We start from the raw sequence: 23,010 nt of genomic DNA on the forward strand, positions 1-23,010 counted from the left end.
GAAGCCAGATTCTTAGCACATTCTCCACCATATTTTATGATAAATCTCATTCAGTTTCCCGTGTAGGGTGGCAAGCTTTATTGCTTAACAAACATTGCATCTACCCTGCCATAATTTATATCTGAATGGGTTTATTATAGGCGTTGTGTTTCATTCATTGTGCAGCTAATTCCATAACATGCTTCCTGCTTTCTGTGTGGCTGTTTGGCCATTATCAGCTTCCAAGACAATTGAATCTTTCCCTTGCAGTTTCACAAAATGGTTTATGAATATGTAATACAAACTGTGTTAACAAGGCAAATATACTTCATTTCTTTTATGGCTATTTCCAGGCTGTGACTGGGAAGAAGAGGCATAACAGTGTGTCTCACTTAGGGTATGTTGTGCCCTTAATATAGTAATGCGCTCCCCTTAGCAGGTCTCTTTGAAGGCCTGCATTGTCTTGGAATGAGCCATGCACTTTTGTGCGGCTCCCTGTGAAATGAGCCCCAGTCGGCCTCCCATGGATTCAATTATCTTCTCTACACGGATGGCACGTTCTCCTCCTTGCCTCCCCCAAGCTCGCTCTCCTAGTGTGGTCCTACGTGGCAGTCTGACTACAAAATAACTCCATTTGGGCGCCCTGCTGTCATGTTGGGAAGAGAATTGCTTATTTTCTGCATATGGCTCCTTCCCTCTGCACTTTTCCCCAGGACCTTCACACCAAAGTCAAGGGCTTGTCCAGCTGAGTGAGAGACATTCTGATCAATGTCTGCTTTGGAAAGCAAGGGCCCACCTGGTCAGCAGCTGTTTATTATTCCACAGTGACTTACTATTTAAGGCCAGGCGCGATGACTCACGCCTGTAATCCCAGCACTTTGGGAGGCCGAGGCAGGCAGATCACAAGGTTAGGAGATTGAGACCATCCTGGCTAACACAGTGAAACCCCGTCTCTACTAAAAATACAAAAAATAAAAAATAAAAAAAAAATCAGCTGGGCGTGGTAGCGGGTGCCTGTAGTCCCAGCTACTCTGGAGGTTGAGGCAGGAGAACGGCGTGAACCCGGAAGGCAGAGCTTGAAATGAGCTGAGATTGCTCCACTGCACTCCAGCCTGGGCAACAAAGCGAGACTCTGTCTCAAAAAAAAAAAAAAAAAAAAAAAAAAAAAAGGAAATAGCTATCCAAATGCATTTTCAAGCTCCCTTGCACCCACCACTGGGGTGCGGGGACTGGTTCCCACCTGGGTCACCTCCCTCTTAACAGCATCCAGGAGACCACTTTAAGTTAGAAATGTGTAAAAGATATGAGATGTGCCCTTTATTCAACACCCATTATTCCAGGGATTTTATATCACCATATTGTTTTTGAAATACGGATTATTTCCATTCACAGGTGAAAAAATTGAGGCTCTGAGAACTTGAGAAGCTCCTTTTAGATAACACTTCTAATCTAATGAAGGACCAAAGCAGGGCAGCAACTTGCCAATATCTGAAAACAGAATCCATGACCACCTGCTAAACTGACTTCAAATCTGTCCACTGATGTTCATACCCACTACCGCCATCTTTGGTTGAACCAGTATCAACCCACCTGGAATATTGGGAAGCTCCTTCCCAGATGCTGTCCCACATCCATTCTTACCGCTATCTGGTCCACACTCCGCCCTGCGGTCAGGTGTTTCTTCTGAAGCAGCACCGTCTACTCCACTTTCTGCAGTGCAAGGAGTTTTCTAGACCCTACTATCCTGTGTGGCAGCCATGAGCCACGTGTGCTTATTGAGTGTTTGAAATGCAGCTAGTGGGACTGAATAGCTAACATTTTAAATTAGCACGTTTTTAGCCATTTAAAGGGACAGAGCCACACATAGCAAATGGCTACTAAACTGGACACACAGTTCCAAAGTATAAATCTGACAAAGTCTCACTACAGTGCAACACGATTCAAAATATTCCCATTTCTCTTTGGTTAAGAACCCAAGTCTCTACGCCAGCTTGCAAAGGCTGTGATTAATCTCCCACGGACATGTTCTAGGATGAGTATGCACCATCTCCACCTCAGCATCTGTGGACCAAGCCCTCTGCCCTCCCTCTACTTTCGAAACCATGCCATGTTCCTTTCCTGCTTGGGGCCGTCACTCAGAATATACTCTCTGTGGAATTTTCTCCTGCATGTGCCTCAGCCCACACATCAGTATCCTTCTCCTTCAGGGAAGCCTTCTCCAACCAATGATTTTCATCATCTCTCCTGGACCTGCTCATACCATCCTCTTCTCCTTCCTATCACTCCAGGGCCACATTGTGAAATTATGTATTTAGTCTTTTAGTTTTCTGATTAAAGCCATTCTGCCTCTATTTGTTTCTGATTGCTACGTAACAAGGTATCACAAACTTAGTGGCTTAAAATAACACAAGTTTATTTTCCTACAGTTGTGGAAGTGAAGAGTCTGAAATGGACCCATAGGACTGTATTTCTTCTGGAGGCTCTAGGGGAGAATCTGTTTGCTTACATTTCCCAGCTTCTGGAGGCCACCTGAATTATTTGGCTTGCAGCCCCTTCCCCATAGCCAAAGCCTCCTGACCTTTCTGCCCACCTCTTTTGTCAAAGACCCTTGTGATTGATTGTATCCACCTGCATAATCCAGGTTAAGCTCCTCATCTCAAAGTTCTTCATATCTGAAAATTTTTTTTTGTCATGTAAGAAAATACAAGTTCTGGGGATTAGGATTTGGACACTTTGAGGGATCAAACCACACTTCCCAACTTCATTATAAATTTTGCAAGAGCAAGGTCTAACTACCATTGCCAAGTACGGTATCTGGAACATTGTGTGTGTGTGTGTGTGTGTGTGTAAGTGTAAATATGTTCAATAAATGAACAAACAAACAACGTAATCTCTTTATCAGAAAGAAAGCACCTTGCAGAAGAAACCACATACCCACAGCTTACTAAGCAACTATGTAGCCCATATATTTTTGGACACTACGATTACCACTCCTCTTATACCAACTATAAAGAGAGGGAGAACTACAGCCCCTAATTAGCCTGTCCTCTTTGTAAGGTTTGTGAATGCGTCTGTCTGGGCTCTGGCCTGCCTTCTCTTTCCTTCCACCAGGCTTGTTCAGCATCACTGTTGCCAGTCCTTGATTGATAACTCACACATTGAATTGATCATATCCTTGAATTAGAAGGCAGATGTCACATGAACAGGAATCCAGGCAAATCAAGGCAAACCCCTTGGAAGTGGCCACAGTATTTGGTCTGACCCCATGGCAGCACTTTCAAAAAGTTGTTTATTTTTTTCTCTGAGGATGTTGGGTGGAACAGCAGAGATTAATAGGTTTCCACAAGCCACAGTGGCCATTTTTCAGATCATGGGTTCATATACATCGAAACATACATACACACACACACGCATATTTATGTATAATCTTTTTTAAGGCATACAACAAAAATCTCATGTTGAGAGCTGTTCACCCATCAGTAAATTTCAATATATATATTCATAAATCGTGCATCATTCAAGAATGCTTTGGAGCTGAGTGGGTATTAAAGTCACCAAATCCAATTCCCTGATGTCTCTAGCCCCTTCTATTCTCACTGAGGAATCTGGGGTCCAGAGCATGGAATTTGTCACAGGCCTACCCATGTGCTGGTGGCAGGGAAAATAATTTGATTCCCTAGGTCTGTGCTTTTTCAATAGCCACAGTTTCTAGAAATGATTCCTAGAATTTTGTTCCTTAGGTTTCTCATATTCTGATCTTGTTGTGAATTTGGATTTAGAGTCTAACAAACAAATCTAGATGAAAAGCTTGGTCCTACTCACTTCCAGTGCTTTTGGCACTGACCAAGTTAACTTCTCTGACCACTTTTTCTTCATGTGTAAAAGAAAAGAGAGGCGGCCGGGCATGGTGGCTCCTAGCACTGTAATCCTAGTACTTTGAGAGGCCAACGCTGGTGGATCACTTGAGGTTAGCAGTTCAAGAGCAGCCTGGCCAACATGGTGAAACCCCATGTCTATTAAAAATACGAAAATTAGCTGGGCGTGGTGGCGCGTGCCTGTAGTCCCAGCTACTCAGGAGGCTGAGGCAGGAGAATCGCTTGAACCCGGGAGGCGGAGGTTGTAGTGAGCTCAGATGATGCCACTGCACTCCAGGCTGGGCGACAGAGAGTGAGACCTGGAGAGGGGAGGGGAAGGGGAGGGAAGGAAGAAAAAAAAAGGGAAAACAGAGGGAGAGAATATTAGCTTTCTCATGTGCTTGTTGCAAGGATTAAATGAGACAATGCTTGCAGAATCACATTTTACTGTATTTATTGACAGAGCATTCTGTCTCCCTCCTCTCCTTCCTTCCCCTTTGTGTCTGCCTCTTTGGAGACCTGTTCTTCTCTCTGCAGTATGTCAGTTCATCGCCACGCAATATATATCAAGGACTACCATGAGTCAGAGACTCTGCCAGCACTGGGCAAAGAAGGAAGAAGGCCTTGTCTGGGACATCATGGTGCTTAAAGTCTAGAGAAGTGTCCAGAGAAGTCAACAAGTGGGAAGGTATGGTGGGTCAGGGTGATTCAGGAGGCACAGCTGGGCCATAGGAGAGAGAACCCGGCCTAACTTAGGCACCAGAAAGCATCTAGTAATAAAAGTGATATCTGTGCTGACACCTATGGAACATGCAAGTATTAGCATAGGAGACCAGGACAGTGTTCCCAGCAATGGGACAGGTATGAGTGAAAACCAAGAGGTGAATGGCACAGACCACGGAAGGGTGGAGAGAGAGGTTTAATTGTGACTGGATCTTGAGTTATGGTGTGGGGCTAAAAGGCAAGACTCAGAGTGGGCAGGGGAGAATGCAGCAGGATTGAGAGACCAGGCCTAGGGTAGGGAAGGAAAAGAGATCCATATCCCCTGAGGTCGGTCCATTCCTGCACCTGACACTGAGCTGGGCCTTGAGGATGTAGCAGGGGAGGAAACAGAGCAGCTCCCTGATTCCATGGCCTTCCAGTCTCTCAGGGAGCAAAGCAAGAGGCATGGCTAGCATATATGAGGAACTCCAAGCATAGGAGTTACCAGGGAATCAAGTGTGGGGCTCTGGATCACAGACCACAGGAGAGACAGAGATTTCCAGTAGAGCCCAGCTCCTCAGGCTGCCCTGGAACTTTACAGTGGTCCATGGTATATGGCCTCCCTGGGCTCTTACATCAGGGCTCACAGAGTCAGGAATGTGGGCTTTTCAATAAAAGTGCAGGCAAAGGGCCCACAGGGAGCCCTGGCTCAAATGAGCTTTTATATTTTTATGTGGAACATAATCACGTTTAGCCATGATCGAGGCTGCCCGTTACTGCTATTAGAGCGTTTATGGTTCTAAGGGGGATATGAGACTTTGACAGTACGTGCTTGCAACTAAAAGCAACGGGGTGTGCTGAGGCTAGAAGCCACCTTGAAATGCCAGGAACACAGAACTTAGGCTGATGTGCATTGCCTTTGAAAGCTGGACTGACAGGGCTCGGTGTTCACAGGTTCCAGAGAGGGTCCTCTCAGGAGGGACAGTGGGGTCATAAAAGTAATAACCACCCAATATATGTAGGTTCTTTGCATGCTTTATTTATCATCTTCAGGATCCCTAAAGGTCTTTCCCATTCATTAGGCCTGTTTTCCATGTGTTGAAACCCAGGCTCAGAGAGCTTAGTGGTTTCTCCCAGAGGACATAGTCAGCAAGTGTGTTAGTTTCTTGTGCCTGCCATAACAAATCACCACAAACCGGGTGGCTTAAAGCAATAGAAACTTACTCTTTCTCATTTCTCAGAGGCCAGAAGTCTCAAATTAAGGTGTGGGCAGCGTTGGTTCCTTCTGGGACCCTAAAGAAGAAATTGTCCCTTAGCTCCTATGGCTGCTGGCACTCCTCCGCGTTCCCTTGGCTTGCAGGTGCGTCACCCTATCTGCTCCTCCCTCCTCACGTGGCTTCTCTCTGCGTCCCTGTATCTTCTGTATCTTCTCTTCTTCTTTTAAGGATGCCAGCCATAGAATTTGGGCCCACCTTCATGTGGGATAATTTCATCTTGAGATTCTTAGCTGAGATTCTTAACTGACTGCCTACAAAGGCCCTCTTTCCAAACAAGCTTACCTTCTGGGATTCTAGGTAAACATGAATTTGGGGAGGACACTATTCAACCATGACAGTAAGTAATGGAGACAGGGACTGAGCCAGGCCTGTCTTGGTGCAGCCACCCACACACAGCACACATGGTTGGATGATGCTTCATTTGCTCACAGCCCCTCTGCTTCCCTGTGCTCCAGAGCCCCCCCACAGCTTTGTCTTACTTCCTCACTGCAAGCTGGCTCCAAACCACTTCTCTCTAGCACAGACCAGGTCTCTGCAGAACTCTCCTTAGCCAGGGACATAGCCCTGAAAGAGTCACAAAGCCACCAGAAACCCTATAGGGAAACACCATGGTACAGAAAAGAAGCGAACCCTACTGCTCTTGGAATGTGACTCAACACTGAGTCTTAGCTCTGCTTCTCATAAGCTAGTGACTTTGGGTAAGTTCCCTCACCTCTCTGAGCCTCATTTTCCCTATCTGTAAATTGGGTACAACATCCATTAGGTGTGCTTTTTGGAAATAAGTAGGTTAAAGAGCACACAGCTTCTGAAGGTTCCTGGCAAAGAGTAGGTGCTCATCAGATGTTTGCTGCATTTGAATCTATTTGCTTCTCTCAGTGACAGAGGGGGAAAGTGTGACCCCTAAAAAGAGAAAGGTTATTTGGGCTCCGTCAAGTACAAGATAATATATGGGAGTAGCTGTAGATATAAATGTACATGTATCAGGCACAAGCATACATATATACACATGCATATACCCCAAATGTGTTGAATCATTGTTCTGTGGAAATATCTATGCCCCATTTATCGACCCATCCATCCATCTCTTCAGTTGAGAGCCTATGCTATGTATCAGATCCCGTGTAAATGCTGCACTTACTTATAGTAAGTAAGTGCATTTAATCTTCACACCTAACCTTGAGGTCTCTAGTTTCATATCCTATTGTACTGACAAATAAACATAACTTCCCCAAGTTGACTCACCCAGAAAGTGTCTGGGGAGCAGACAGCATGTGCAGTTACCTCTTCCTGGCTGGGTCAGGAAAAAGTTGAGGGAAAAGGTGGCATCTGAGTGGTGCCTTGGAAAGGCAGCAGCCACACAGCTCATGAATCATCTGTGGCTCACTATGCGGTGGAGGGAACATGGGAAACAGAGCCAGATAAATTCAAGTTTGTGCTCTGGCTCTGCTGCCGGCTGGCTCTGTGACGTTGAGGTACTGACTATATCTTTCTGTGCCTTTATTTATTTTGCATATGTTAAAAGTGGATGAGGCAGGATATGGTGGTTCACACCTATATTCCCAGGGTTGGAGGATTGCTTGAGGCCAGGCTGGGCAATGTGGCAAGACCCCATCTCTACAAATTTTTTTTAAGTTAGCGGTTGGGGGGTGGGCGTGCATGGTGGTACATACCTGTAGTCCTTGCTACCGGGGGAGGCTGAGGCTGGAAGATCACTGGAGTCCAGCAGTTTGAGGCTGCAGTGAGCTATGATCACACCACTGCAGTCCAGCCTGGATGACCAAATAAGATCCTGTCTCAACAAAAAGTGGGGTGATAAGAGAACTCATGAGATAAATGTAGGTAAAAGGTATAAGGATAGAAAACTGTTTGGCAGGACCAGTTAAAGCAGAACGTGATGCACGGGTGTATAACAGAAATGCACATGCGTGTGCATGTGCATGCACATGTGTGTATGAAGAGACATGCAAAGAATGTCCATTGCAGCACTATCCATAACAACTCCAGATGGAACTAACCCAAATGTTTACCTATAGTGAATATGATACGCTATGCTATATTCACATGATGGAATACTTTAGAGCAAAAACAATGAACAAAGTACAACTACCAGCAACAATATAAGTGGATCTCGCCTATATAATGTTCATCAAAAGAAGCCAGTATGTACTGTATGATTCCAATTACATAAAATTAAAACACAGGCAAAAACTAATATATGGGGTTAGAATTGGGGTTAGTGGGCTGGACACAGTGGCTCACGCCTATAATCCCAGCACCTTGGGAGGCTGAGATGGGTGGATCCCTGGAGGTCGGGAGTTTGAGACCAGCCTGGCCAACATGGTGAAAAAATACAAAAATTAGCTGGGCATGGTGGCACGTGCCTGTAATCCTAGCTACTCAGGAGGCTGAGGCAGGAGAATCACTTGAACCCAGGAAGTGGAGGTGGCAGTGAGCTGAGTTCATCCAGCCTGGGTGACAGAGTAAGACTCTGTCTAAAAAGAACTGGGGTCAGTGGTTTCCTTGGTAGGGGTGAGAGTGAGGGTGGAAGATGGTGAGAGGATGTACCTGGGGCATTGGCCACATTTTCTTTCTTGACCTGGGCACTGCTCCCAAGGAGTTATGTCTGCGAAACTCCTCGACCTGTAGAATTATGTCCTGTGAAATTTATATACATATATACATGTAAAATATTTTAATAAAAGTTTTTTACTCCTATGGCACAGCAGCTGGCTTCTAGAACATTTTCAGCAAGTGCAAGTTTTCTTTTCTTGAATGATTGAATCATCTTGAATGACTGAATCACAATCTCTCCAAGAAAAGAACCCTCCATCTGCATATGATGTTCTCAGTGACATCAAGCCACTGGGGCACTCACAATATGGGGAAAGGAGCCATGCAAAGGGCCAGGAAGGCACAGGAGAAAGGTCAGAACGTTGGAAAAGAAGAAGGGAGGCAGGCAGGGGGTCTTTCTCCTATCAGTTTAAGTATCTGTGAGTTCCCGGAGCAGAGATTCCCTGATGAATATAAAAGTAGGCATCTATTTATTAATGGTGCCATCTATTTTTTTTTTCCCAAAGTTTTGAAAATCAACCTGGACTCTCAGCAGTATCATCCAAATCTCTGCAGATCAAGCCATTGCCCACCTGGCCAGCTTCCCCTCTGCAGCCTTTTTTTCTCACCCCCAGATAACCAGTCACACTGACCTTTGCCTGGCTTCCATATCTCCAGTTCTCAGCTTAAATAACAACCCTGCCTAAAATCCCAGCCCTTTGGGAGGGCAAAGAAGGTGGATCACCTGAGGTCATGAGTTTGAGACCAGCCTGGCCAACATGGTGAAACCCCATCTCTACTAAAAATACCAAAATTAGCTGGGTGTGGTGGCACGTGCCTGTAATCCCAGCTACTTGGGAGGCTGAGGCAGGAGAATCACTGGAACCTGGGAGGTGGAGGTTGCAGTGAGCCCAGATCGCACCATTGCACTCCAGCCTGGGAGACAAGAGCAAAACTCCCTCTCAAAACAAACAAAACCCTCAGGCCACATTAACTTCCTCCTCCTAAAGGACTCTTTTTCATACATCTGTGTTCTTTTGTCACTTTGGAATTGTCTCAGATTTTAATTCATTAACACTCATTTGTCTCTTTGCTTGTTTATTTTCTGTTTCCTCTTCTCCCATGTTCATGTCCACCATTAAGTGCATCATTGCCCCTCTCCAGTGAAAGCCAGCAAGCAACCTTCACACAGCAGCCTCATAAAAGACAGTCCTTGAATACATGGAATCAAAGGCATCTTAAGTTTGTTCATAGAAACAATAGATTTTCTCCTCCCTTAAATGTTTAAACAGCAAGAGTATTTTCACACAGGTAATTCCAGATTATACAGATCCTCAAAATCCTAAGTTATTGTAGAAGGGTGTTTGCAATACAGGGGTTAGAAACTATAACGCAGGAACCAGAAAAGATGTGAATGAATGACAGAGGGCCAGATATCACAATAGGGAGTGGTGGGGACAGCAGCAAACTGAAAGCCAGTACATGACCAAGCAAAATTCAGCAACTGCCTGTCAGTTCTGTCCAGCTGCTCCCATTTTGGAGTGCAGATGTCTTGTTGCCAGATCCCTCAGTTTTCTAAGAGAGGACATCAAAACCCCACATTTTTAATGTCAACTCTACCAGTGTTTGAATACTGGTAATGCATTTAGCATTTCTTAACAGGTGTCTACCCAGTGTACAGCAAACTATTTCTGTAGGCTGCCCGCAGTTGACATCCTCCATTCTGACCCTCGCCAAGCATTTCAGAAAAGGTAGACAGGCCTGCAGAGAAAGCAGATGGCTCATCGCACATCACACAGTGAGTATGTGGCAAGGTGCGGTCTGGAACGCAGGCTCGGAGCTCAATGCAGTTTCCACTTCACCCACAATGAGAAACACCTCTGTGCACACATTTGACTTAATTGAGATAAATCAGCCATCATAAAATTAAATTATGTCTCAAATTAAACATACTATATGGAAAAGGTCCTATGTGCATCTCTTTATTGGCATTACATGAAAGCCCATAGCTCACTTGTAAGAGCCCATCACAACAATCTTAGGGAAGAGGAAGAAGGCTGTTTCCACATTTGACATTAATTTCCAGCCAACCTGGAGTCAGGGTGTCCCTACAAGGTGCCGTGTTGGAAAATGCTCCATTGTGAGACCTGAGCCCTCGCTGCTTGCAGCAGCCCCTTTTTAATTCTGTCTCAGCAGCTCGGGCCTAACCCTGTTATAGAAAAAGTAATCGTAAATCTGCATGAAGTTTCTGATGATTAGTTTTGCTTGGAATTGGGCCAAAGAGTCAGACTTTTGCCAATTGCATATGTACATGTAAGTTCTTTCAAGAAAGAATTTGTTAATCCTTCCCACTAGGCTGAGGGTAAGGAGTTGAGGGGCCTCAAGGAGGAGACACTCTCCCTGACTTTACTTTATGCTGAAAGGTTGTGCAGCCACCTTAGTAAATGCTCTAATGACAATATTGTCTCACTTTATCCTCACTGTGGCGCAGACGGACACAGATTATAAATTTTTTAGACAGACGAGGAAGCTGAGACTAATTTTTGGTAACTCGCCTAAGTGTACACAACTAGAAAGATGTTACACTTGAGTCTGGCCCTCTCCTCTCTGATTGCAAAGCCCCTGTTGCACAGACACGCAGCTAACATGTACACATTATTCTATATCAAATGATGCCAACTACTACATTTTACCAATTAGGCAGCAGTGAATGATCCATGCTGCTGATTATCATCTACCTGGCTTCCTTCCCCCTTCTTCTTAAAACTCTGATAATGTGCAGGGCATGATAGCAGTTGACTTAAAGAGGAGAATGAAAGAAATTAGAAAAGAGAAAAACCAGCCAATGGTAAAGTGGTTCCTATGCTATTTAAAATAATATTAAATAAAGAATAAAAGAATGTAAAAAGAAAAAAAAGCAGTGCAAGAGCTCCGAATTACAGGTATAAGGATTATTTTAAATTTCATTTAATTAACCAGTGCTCCATTTTGACAATGAACAGTGGGTTTTTGATGGGTTACAATGACTTTAGAAGTTAGAAGATAATAAGAAAGCAGTATGCTGAGGTCGACAGTCAAGGGCTTGGGTTTCAGGCAATCAGGGCTTATACCTATTCTCACCCCTCTCTACATTCCTGTCATTTGACACATTACCTCATCTCAACCTGTGTACGCAGAATAACGACGGCATTCCCTGGTAATAGATTAAATTTCCAATCTAGTCAGAAGCAGGAAAACAGAGGCCTCCAGAAGGGAATTCCCACAGGCTTTAAATTGACCTCCTATTTACACCCACACCCATGTACCCCACCTTCTTCTTGTTAGTAGGACTTGGAACCATAGCTACCTGATTCTGAAGTCCCCTAGGGTATGGGAATTGGAATTTTAAGATGTTACTGTATTCGCATTGTGGATTTTGTTATTGCAAATGTGAAAGAACTTGCCATTCCAAAGTTGAGATAGCTTGATTTTCAGGCATTTTTTTCAGGCATTTGAGTTCTCTCCTGATGGCTGTGGGACCACTAGGCAGGAATCACTTACAAGTTGTGGACATCTGTGAGAACACACACACACACACACACACATACACACACACGTGTGCTGGAAATTCTAGCAGGGAAGATGCAACAATTCCACCCTTGTTGCAAGGCATCTCTGGCCTAAGTTCATTTGGGTAACAATGTGGAATTGAGAATCAGGCAGACTTGGTTCCAAGTCACTCACCAGAGGAAGCCAGAGTGTGTGGGTGCAGATGCAGGAGGGAAGGTAGAGTGAAAGCACATGGACGTCCTCTTCTGATGGTTTCTATTTTACCACTCAGTGCTACAATAGGAAACTGATTTCTTACCAGGGGAGAGGATGGGGGCAAAGAGAGGAGACTGAGTTTAAAGAACAGAATGATTCATCTTTTTAAGCTATTGTATTCCCACCAGATGAAGGACAGAAAAGCAACTGTCATTGAGCAGGTTTAGGTCATCACATATTTGGAGAGTTTTAAGAATCCTTTAGAGACCATCTTTCTTCATTTTACAAACAGAAAACCAAGTTCTGAAGAGAGATTAAATGCTCCCTCTCTTCTTGGAACAGATTAAGGCAGTGGTTCTCAACTGGGGGCTATTTTGCCCCCTATCACAACCCCTGCTCATCTCTACAGGATACTTGACAATATTTGGAAATGTTTGTTGTCACAATTGGGGAAGGGGAGAGGGAGAGGTATTGCAACCAGTATGTGTTGACTGGAACCAAGGATGCTGCTAAACATTGTATAATGCATGAGATAGCCCCCACCACAAAGAACAATCTAGCCCAAAGTGTGTCAAGAGTGCATAGGTTAGAATACCCTGAATCAAACTGACATTTAACTTGTACAAAGCCATATTACACTCTCTAAACAGCCTGGGCATTTGGTCAACCAAAAATCTTTGAATACTCCCTCTCTCCAATTGTTTGTGACCCCATAGTCCTTAAATAATTGTCTTCTCTGGAGCTTACCACGTGTCCTTAGAGTTCTTGATTCCTATCTTCTAGAGTTAACAACCAATGTTTGGAAACATTTAGGTGTAATAACTGTCAGATAGAGGTGCATGGCTGAATCAGGAAATAATAAAAGTTACATTTTCAACTAAGAGAGACCCTGAAATAAAAGCTAATAGAAAAACTGAATCTTCAAGGGTGTGTTATGAGTTTAAATGAACTACGAGCTAAAATAAACTAGCTTGATCTCCCAACACAAATGGCAATTGTGGGTTGAATTTAGTTTAGGTATGCTGCAGTTGTAGGTAAACACACTGAATGCTAATGGTTTTATAATAGTCTTATTAATTCACCCTTCGTAGTTAATGTTTAAGATAAACTCTGTGTCTTTAGAGTAATTTATGCATTCCACTTTTAGAGAATTCCAATTGAATGAATATGAACCTAATCATTTTACACAAATGTTCTCCAAGGAGGGAGAGGAAAGTATGAACCGGGCAAAGACTCCCCACTGCTTTATTCATAATGGATCAGCCAATTCATTCCTTATTAATTTAATGGAGTACAAGTAAGCAGCGTAACAGCTTGAGTTTAGGAGTGTTTCACAAATGGGGCTTTTTGTCTGTAATCACTTAATCCTGCAGGCTAGGCCTCATAAATTGAATAAAAGAGGGAACTGGGTTTTAATTAAGTCCAAAGAATGAGGCTGCATCAAAAACACAAGCACCACTGACAAACACAGGGGTGAAGTGTGTTTGGTTAATATCCCATGCTAAGAGCATCCTGGCCCTGGGAGCCCTGACGGGAACCTTTTGATGTCGGGCTGGAGGGGAAATCCTTTCCTCATCATGGGCTTGCATCCTGAAGGGCAGTGAGAAGAAAGCCCATGTCTCTGAGCTCTTGCCAGCCCAGGCCTCCCCACAAAGCTGATGCTCAAGCAAAAAAGGCATTCCTGCCCCTGGTTTTGCATCTGTCCACATCTGGCTGGGAAACAGACTTTTTGACCAGGAGCCCAGTCCAGAGAAAAGGTGAATAATCCTTTCCCAGGATCTTGTGTGCCCTATTGGAAAGAATCTGGACTTCTAAGCCAGACAGACTCAGATTCAAATCTCAACTGCACAATATAATAGCTACAGGTCCATGAATAGGATGGAGATAATGCTTTGCTGGGTTACTACTAAGATAAAGTGAGTTTATGTGGTCAGGCACTGTGCAAAATGAGTGACTCATTGAGGATGTTCAATGAAACGCAGTTAGCATCATGGTGATCATCTCCTACCTAAAGTAGAAATGTCCTTTTATAAAAACTGCAATAATAAGCCAAAATGGAAAACATTTCTCCAACCTTTCCTATAAAATTTCCCAGAAACCTCCACTTACTGAAGCCTTTGGTGGATCACTCTACTTCTGAAAAACTCCACTCAAGGTCCCTCATGGGAGATCTTGTCTGCCCCATGGGAGGGGAGGCAGAATAATGGCCCCCAAAAGTGCATACATCCTAATTCCTGGAACCTGTGAGTGTGTTACCTCCCCTAGCAAAGACGAAGACTTTGTGGATGTGATTGAACTAAGGATCTTAACCTGGATTAGCTGAGTCATCCCAAGACAATCACAAGTGATGATAAAGAAAGAATGAAAGAGACAGGAGAGTCAGTGTCAGAGGGATAGAGCGTGGGAAAGGCACCAATGCTGGCTTTGAAGATGGAGGGAAGAGCCATGAGCCAAGGAATGCAGGTAGCCTCTAGATGATGGACAAGGCAAGGAAGCGGATTCTCCTCTAGAGCCTCCAGAAGGAACACTGACCTGCAGACACCTTTAATTTCAGCCCAGTGAGACCCAGTTTGGGCTTCTGACTTCTAGAACTGAAAGATAAATTTGTGTCATTTTAAGCCACAAAGTTCGTGGTAATTTGTTACAGCAGTCATGGGAAACTAAATCTCTATTTCTACTAAGTCTATTAAATGAACTCTGTTTCATTTCTACTTTAAGTATGAGTGCCCAGCCAAACCACCCAAATCCCAGGGGAACTGTACTGTTTCTTTGGAAATAAGAATCTGTCGTATGAGTTCAGCCTTGTTCTTTAGTCGACATACCGATTATGATTTCTAGTTGTCTAATTTAAGATTATGAACTCCTCCATGACAAGCACAGAGACTACTATCAGGCTCTGTTCATACCAGAGTCCCGCACATGTTTAAGAAATTTTACTGATTCAAGAGAAGTGCTAAACTGCAAATTTTCTGGGACTATGAATTCCTCAAAGAACAGCTATCATTGTAATAGATGGAGCTCCCCTCTTAATAAAAACAGCAGAAACAACATCAGCCAGGAGGTCTACCACAATGAGGATGACGTGGACATCTTATTGAACAACGTACGTGGATCATACCATTCCCATCATTTATTTGTCATTCTCACAACAGCCTCACATCATGTTCTGAATGCCTATTTTACTAATGAACACACTGAGAGGTTAATAATTTGCTGAATCAATATTCATACTCAGTGTCCTTTGGTCCCAAAGCCCTGGATTTTTCCACTACCCAGAAAACTTGAGAATAGATGCTAGTTTTGCATAAAGTCATTTTAACTATTTTTGTATGATTATGATATTCATCTCATTAAAATTTTAGGAAAATTTTTAAGAAAAAAGATAAGGAACATTGTTTTAAATTCTGCCAAAAAAGATAACACTCTCCCATCCTTTTTGATAGGAACCAGACAGAGGACGAGAGTCCGCATGCTGAACCACTTAAATTCACATGGCGGCTAAGAAGACAAGAGTTTCGGCAGGCATAGAGGCTAAGAGAGTTAAGAGCATCCTCCGTGCCTAGTACAGTCCCCAGCTGCATCATAAACAGATGAAATGAAAAAGTTTTTTCTCCCAATCAAGCCAGCAGGAGAGCAAGGGTCTGTGGTACCTGGGGACAATGCACCATGCTTACACCCTCTCTAGCCACATGTATGCTACTGCGGAATTGGCAAAGACAGGTATGTTCCCATAGATGAGGCATGCATACAGACAGGTGCCTGGAAACCACAAGCCCTCCAAGGCTTTCCTGTGCTAAGCCTGATTTACGAGCTAGTCACCCATGCCTGACTCAAGTCCAAGATCTGGGCTGAACAGCCTCTTCTGCATTTTCTGATGTGTGACGCCTATTGTGTGCCCCTTCTGGGATCCTCATGACTCCTGCCAGTCCTTTCATGGGTGGAGGCTTTGAGTGATCCTCGAGAACCAGGAGAGTAAGGAGTGACTTATATAGGATCAGAATAACCATGCAACTACATCCCAGGAGCTGTGTGCTCAGTGGGTGATTAAATGTGCTGTTTACTTTGTATCCTCGGTTGTCTACTCAGAGCTCTTTTATTAAAGTTTGTGTAATGCTTCCTAGCCATTAAAACAGCATTTCGTAAATGGGCTTACTTTGGGAGGCTGAGATGCCCAGAAGCATGGAGGCACCTGTCTCGGGTGGAGACACCTGAGGTATTATTTACAGATTTATGTATTAAACAAACAAACCTGACACTCCTTTTCTATTCCAGAGTGCAACCCTTTTTAGTCATCAACCTGGGGGAGAGATCTCTTCTGCACATAAAAGTATCCCCACAGCATTGTGATCACACTGGAGAAAGTGGACGGGATAAAGAGAAGGAAGGACGTTTTGTTGAGTGCCTTCTATGTGCTGTTCGCTCTGCTGAGCTTCAAGTTTCTCAAATATAAATGGGGGAGAGGCTGGGCGCGGTGGCTTACGCCTGTAATTCCAGAACTTTTGGAGGCCAAGGCGAGCAGATCACAAGGTCAGGAGTTGCAGACCAGCTTGGCCAACATAGTGAAACTCTGTCTCTACTAATAATACAAAAATTAGTTGGGCATGGTGGCACGTGCCTATAATGCCAGCTACTTGGGAGGCTGAGGCAGGAAAACTGCTTGAACAGGGACCTGGGAAGCAGAGGTTGCAGTGAGCCGAGACCACGCCACTGCACTCCAGCCTGGGCTACAGAGCGAGACTCTGTCTCAAAAAATAAATATAAATAAATAAATGAGGGAGAACCATGATTCATAGGGTTCTTAATAATGAAGATAACAATACCAATGCCAATAACAACTGTCACATATTCTGCATGCTGGACATTGTGCTAATTCTTTCCATGCATTTTCTCACCTAAGCCTTACAACAACCCGGAGGGATAGGTACGATTTTACAGATGACAAGACTAAGGAACAGAGTTTAAGCCAATTTCCCAAGATTGCAGAGCTACTGAAGGTCACAGACACTATTTTGTCCTTCAGTGGTTAGTCTTCTAGAGCCCATAAGCTTCACCTCTGTGGTATCTGTTTCCCATTTTGCAGGCACCACATGTCCCACTATTTGGGATAATATAGTAAAATGCATAGTACAGTCTTCCCACTTCCAAGCAGCACTATAAATGGAGACTAACAGTTCATCTAACTGGAGACGGCAAAGAAGGCTTCCTAGAGGAGGTGGCCCCTCTAGTATCTTGCTTTTCCTACAAGCACCCCTGTAGGCCCATCTTTGGGAAGTTGGGGTGGGGGGCACATAGGTGCCAGGTTGAAAAAGTGTTTCTGTTCCTTCCAACGAAGAGAACAGAAAGAGGTCCAGAGAGAGAGAAACATACAGATGTCCTCCAGCTTTCAGAACCTGAAGGCTGATTTCAAATAAGTTGTGCCCATTTGGGGCTGTGCCTAGAGGAAGAGAATGTTGGAATCATTCTCTTCTCTTCTTGTGCAACCACTTTTAGAGGCAGCTTGAGAAGAAAGTTTAATCAAAGTGGTTTTTAGACAATGAGGAACCTGAGTCAGGCCCCTACACCTGTGAAGGCCACTCTGTTCAGCTTCCTATAACATCTCTTATGTAGATATTCTGTAGAATATAGATAGGTAGATACGTATATATTGAAAAATATCAACTCAGGAATTATTTTTTCTCTGATAACTGTTGAAAGAGCCCTTTCATTAATAGCAAATCCTTTTGTTTCTGCCTTGCCCCTTCAACAACAACAAAAAAATTTGAAAAGAATACGAATGCCGATTGACCTTCACTCAAATGCACTTTTTTAAACCTAGGACTGCCTTCCTTATCCAAGTAATGGCTTTCAGACAGATTATAAGATCTTGTACCAAATTAAGCAAAAGATTAGAAGAATAAGGACACACTGAGAAAACACGTGCTGCCTCTTTAATGTCTCAGGTTTTCTTTAAACATAAAATTATAGCACAATGCACAAAAGGACGGCGGCATTATCCTTTATCACAATACCCAGCCAACTTTAACTTGTCTCAAGTGTTATTATAAGAAATAGAATTTACTGCTATGGACTTCTCTTCAATACCACTCCTTCCCTGTTTAATGAAATGTCATTATTCCAATACAAACCCTTTCTTTTTGCAGCCTGTTCCCCCCCCGACCCAACCACTATATTTCATTTCCTGCAGTTACGTGATATTATTGCCTTTTTTCCACAGCTATTGATTTAGGTGTATATGGTTATTACAATGCAAAATAAAACAGCTCCCCCATCCATTCTACCTTGTACCATTGAACATTAACTTAATTTGTTTCAAATCTGCATTTGATTTGGCAAGGAAACCATTTATCTTTATGAAGAAAGCCCTCATAAAGTAGAGAGTTTAGAAGATCACTGCTTTAAAAATTTAATAGCCTTGTGTCTTATAAACTAGAAAAATGAATTAAACCTTCAAATAGTGTATGTCTCAGTGTAACCTTTTTGCATTTCATACTATGTTTAATTTATTATATTCTGGAGGAGGAAAAAAGTTACAGGACAGATCGCAGCATGTGGCTTGCTTCAGCATCGCATGAATAAAGTCAAGGTTTACCACTCATAAGCAGTGTGATTCGCAGGAATTCTCGTTCATCTCACGCTGAAGTTGACGTTGCAATTTCAGGTGCTGCAAGAATGGGTTTTGTCCAGAGTTTTTCCATGGTAAAAGAAGGGGCTCTCTCCCTGGAACACTTGAAGTGCAGCCTGAGGGTAGAGGGAAGTAAGGGGGAAAGTAGAGCTAATAAAGGTATAATGACGCTTTTAAAAGATTCAGAAATAAGAAAATGCTCCACTCAGAAGTAACAGGGTGTCTCCAAGAGGATGAGAAACAGTGTCTGAGCTTAGGTCTCAGAAATGGCCAGAAGATACTGGTATCAATGCCAAAAATAGCATCACCTGGGCTCTTAAATATATACTGCTAATAGATACTCACAGTTAAAAATAAATTTAAAAAGAAATAAAAAGGAAGGACTGAGGCTGCAGCCCTTGCTATCTCTCTTTATTGCAGACCTTCTTTTCTTTCTTGCTGCCTCCATCTGTGATATGTGTGGGTAACACAGGTTAGTGGGAGATGAAGTTTAAAGAATAGAAAATTATCAACTTGACAACTTTCAGTTGAATGAAGATAATAGTTCAGTTCATACTTTAAAGTGTAGGGTAAGTCCACCATCATCACTACCATCACAGTCATCTCCCCCAGGTCTATGACTACTACCATCACCACCACCAGGGCTACCACCACTATGACCATCACCACCACAGCACCACCATAATCACCAGTACCACCATTATCATCACTACTGCCAATGCCATCACCATCACTACATCCGTGCTACCACCACCTTCACCATTACCATCTCATAACTACCAACATCACCACCACCACCATCACTACCACCAACCATACAATCACCATCATCATCATCATTACCACCAGAGATACCACCACTACCATCACCATCACTGTCCCGCCACTACCACTATCATCATCACCACCACCAATACCAACACCAAGACCATCATCACCACCAGGGCTACCATCATCATCGCCGTCACAAATACCATACTTTTATATATCCAATATGCTAAACTCTCTCCTTCAAAAATTCAACAGTATTGAATTGCAGGTATCCATCCCTTTTTGCCAGAGAATTCGGGAAGTTGCAGGAATGGAAAGTGAGTTGCTCGATGTCACAAAGGAAGAGCCAAGATAAGAATTCAAGTGTTTCTCAGTCCCAAACCATGTTGCATTTTTTTGTATGCTTTCACTAAACCACTTCAGTCCAAAATAATCTTATTATTTAGGACATTTTTCCTTTTCCAAAGACTCGGATGCTTGATTATTATGATAAAGTTTGAAACATAATCTGTTGAATTGGTCATGCTTGTAGAAAGGTTGAACACTCCCAGTGACTTGGCTAGAGAATGGTTCAGAGGAATGGCTCTCTGTCTCTTTCAATCACTGAGGACGTCCAATGCTGTTCTGGGAGCCTGCAGTGCCTCCTCTGTTTGTATTGGCTTCCCTGTTCTCTACGTGTCTCTTCTTAAGCCCTTCTTTCTCCAGCTGGGCACTCCTGACTATGCCGTCTCTAGCAAATCTCTTTTTTTCTGCAGTAAGTATTTGTAATAAACAGCCAGCATTTATCTTATTCTTACTATGTGGCAGGCTTTGTGCTAAGTTCTTTCCATGGATTACCTCATTTAATGTTTACATTTCTGTAAATTATCATTATGCTAATTTTAATGATGCTAAAACAGAGGCTGAGATTAAACAACTTGCCTGAGGTCACCCGTGTAGACTTGTGAACTGAACCCTAAATTCTGTCCCCCTGCATATTCTCCTGTGCTCTGAGCACTCTGTTCCTTGCAGTTTGTCACCAGATTGCATTCTGTGCCTTTTTCACAATAGGACCGCACCGAACCTGGAAGAGCTCCCAACAACACAGAGAAGAATATTAGGGATGTGGGTGCTGTTACATGCATTAGTGTTTCTTGATTGACAATACCCGCCAGATGGACACCCAGAAACACACCTGTAAAACAAAGTTAAGTTTATTGGCTTGTTGGAATTTGAGAAAACCACACCAAAGGGAGCCATGTATTGTCTCAGTAACAAGGTGCTAGAAAGAACTTACAGGAATTGGGCTTGTGTGAGGTGATTTTGAAGTAGATTCAAAAAAGTGGAAGTTTGCTCTCAATTGGGCACTGTGAGTAAATGGACGCAATTCTATGATTGTGTATCTTAGCATATCTGATCTATGGGGGGACAGACAACTGTGAGGTTTCAGCTGTGATTGGCAAGGAAGCTGCAGTCACCATATTATCTGGGAAAGAGGGACGGTTGGTATTTTGAGGATTGGTACTTTATGTTGTATTTTTGAACAACACTCATGTTTTGTCTGTACTGAGACATGATTACAGAGTGGTCTTGTTTTTGCCTGGCTCTGTCATGGTCACACAGACATTGTGACATTGGTGTTCCATAAAAGTTTTCATGTGCAACAGAAGAACACCAGGCCTGCTCTGAGTGTCAAGCCAGTTCCCAGAATTACAAACGGCCAGTTTTTCATGTTAGATCAGCACTTAGCTGTTAGCAGCTACTTTTCTCTTTCTCAATTCATTGTTGTTTCTCAGGAAAATGTCCCTGCCTGGAGCTCGAAACCAGTAAGAAAGTTTTCAAAGCACACTGAAGACCAAAGCCAAGGTAGGAACCAGGCTCACCAATAACCATGGACCACCCCCTCTAAGTTTCCACTGAGATCTACTTCCAAGCACATTCATTACAGGTATGGGGAGCAGAAGAGTATTGTGGTCAAGAATAAACACCCATAGAGTGTTTGGATTCATATTCTACCTTCATAAGATATTAGTTCTGTGATCTTAAAGACATATCTTAGCTTCTGAGCTACCATTTTCTCATCGGGTAGAAGGAAGAGAATAATACTGCCTTTGTCATAGGGTTGCCATGAGAATCTATGAAATAATATATAAAAAGTGCTTACCAAGTGACAGACACATAGTAATTCCTCAGTAAATGGTAACCAACATGACTTCTTTTGCCACCCTCTTTGCTTACAAGGCTACTGAAACGTTGGTCTTTCTTTCTTTTAAACGTGCCAAGAGCCCTTGCTCTTCCTGGTGTCTTTACCTGGTGAGCTCTGCCCCATATATCCTTATAACTGTGTGGTGCACAAAATAATGGTCCCCAAAGATGTCCATGTCCTGATTCCCAGAACCTTGGAAGATACTACTTCACGAAGAAAAAGAGACTTTGCAAATATGAATGAGATAAAGACCTGAAGATAAGGAGATTAGCTTCATTTGTTCAAGCGGGTTTAATGTAGTTATAAGACCCCTTAAAAGTGGACATGAGAGGAAGAAGAGTCAGGAAGATAGATAGCCCACCATTGCTGGGTTTAAGCATGGAGGAAGGGGCCACAAACCAAGGACGGTGGGTGGCCACCAGAAGTTCAAATAGGCAAGGAAATGAATTCTCCCCTAGAGCCTCCATAAAAAATCATGGCCCTGATAACATCTTGATTTGGACCTAGTGAGACCTGTGTCTGACCAACAGCACCATAAGAAAATAAATTTGTGTTGTTTTAAGCCATCATGTTTTAAGCCATCAAAATAACAACGTTATTTGTTACAGCAGCCAATACAAAACTGAATCCTTCCCACTCAAATCTCAGCTCAAATGTCACTACTCAAGAAGTCCTTCCAAACTGTTCAATCTAAATTACACATCCCATCCCTGCTCCCCAGGTGCTGTCCAAGTCTCTCATTCTGTTTTTCACTTGGTACTTACCAGTCTTTACAATTAGCTTCCAATGTATTTCTTTAGTTAATTCCCTCTTGCCCCACATGAACTTGTTCTCCTCTGTATGAACAATACCAAAAAGAGCACTGTAGCAACAACATCTAAAAGAGTGCCTGGCATTTAACAGGAGGAAGGAGCCACAAGTCAGGGAACTTCTTACCTCTCATGTTTTTCAAACTGACCTTTAGGAAATTTAGCGTGGCATACAGGCTGCCATAGGCAATTAAAAAAAAAAAAAGCCAGTTTACTCAGAATTGCAAACAAATGAGATCAGCATATTTGGGACATGAGTGTTACTGTTTCTCTATCATTGCAAAATACCAGTAGTCTATTTTCACATTCTTTCCTGTTAAACCCACACAGAACCTCAGAATCCTTCCCAACCCAAAGCGCAAGGCAGCCATTGGACATCAAATGTGGTTGAAGTATTTACAAGATAAAAAAAATTATTTACTATTCTTAAAGAGTAATGACTGAAAACAAAGGTTCATAGAATTGTAGAAGAAACTAGGTACATCAAGGCTGAGGGAAAAGCATAATAATAATAATT

General features: G+C 43.1%; 2 long non-coding RNA genes across 3 annotated transcripts in view; one reads left to right on the plus strand and one right to left on the minus strand.

The window, feature by feature from the left end:
* LOC105371357 (uncharacterized) overlaps nt 1-16,633 on the plus strand; it is a 117,137-nt gene extending 100,504 nt beyond the window's left edge. Inside the window, exons 3-4 of one of the 2 annotated variants that reach the window (XR_933774.3) lie at nt 15,550-15,826; nt 16,379-16,633. This is a non-coding gene — a long non-coding RNA (uncharacterized LOC105371357). Of the gene's footprint in view, nt 1-4,370; nt 4,436-15,549; nt 15,827-16,378 lie in introns of those variants that run through there. The other variant, XR_001752272.2, reaches the window with a different exon arrangement.
* DYNLRB2-AS1 (DYNLRB2 antisense RNA 1) overlaps nt 4,104-23,010 on the minus strand; it is a 407,178-nt gene continuing 388,271 nt past the window's right edge. The window contains exons 3-6 of the long non-coding RNA NR_120307.1: nt 8,378-8,452; nt 7,483-7,601; nt 5,760-5,828; nt 4,104-4,153 (exon numbers count right to left, since the gene is read on the minus strand). This is a non-coding gene — a long non-coding RNA (DYNLRB2 antisense RNA 1). The remainder of the gene's footprint in view (nt 4,154-5,759; nt 5,829-7,482; nt 7,602-8,377; nt 8,453-23,010) is intronic.

Source organism: Homo sapiens, chromosome 16, assembly GCF_000001405.40.
Source record: "Homo sapiens chromosome 16, GRCh38.p14 Primary Assembly".
In the NCBI taxonomy this organism is placed as follows: Eukaryota; Metazoa; Chordata; class Mammalia; order Primates; family Hominidae; genus Homo; species Homo sapiens.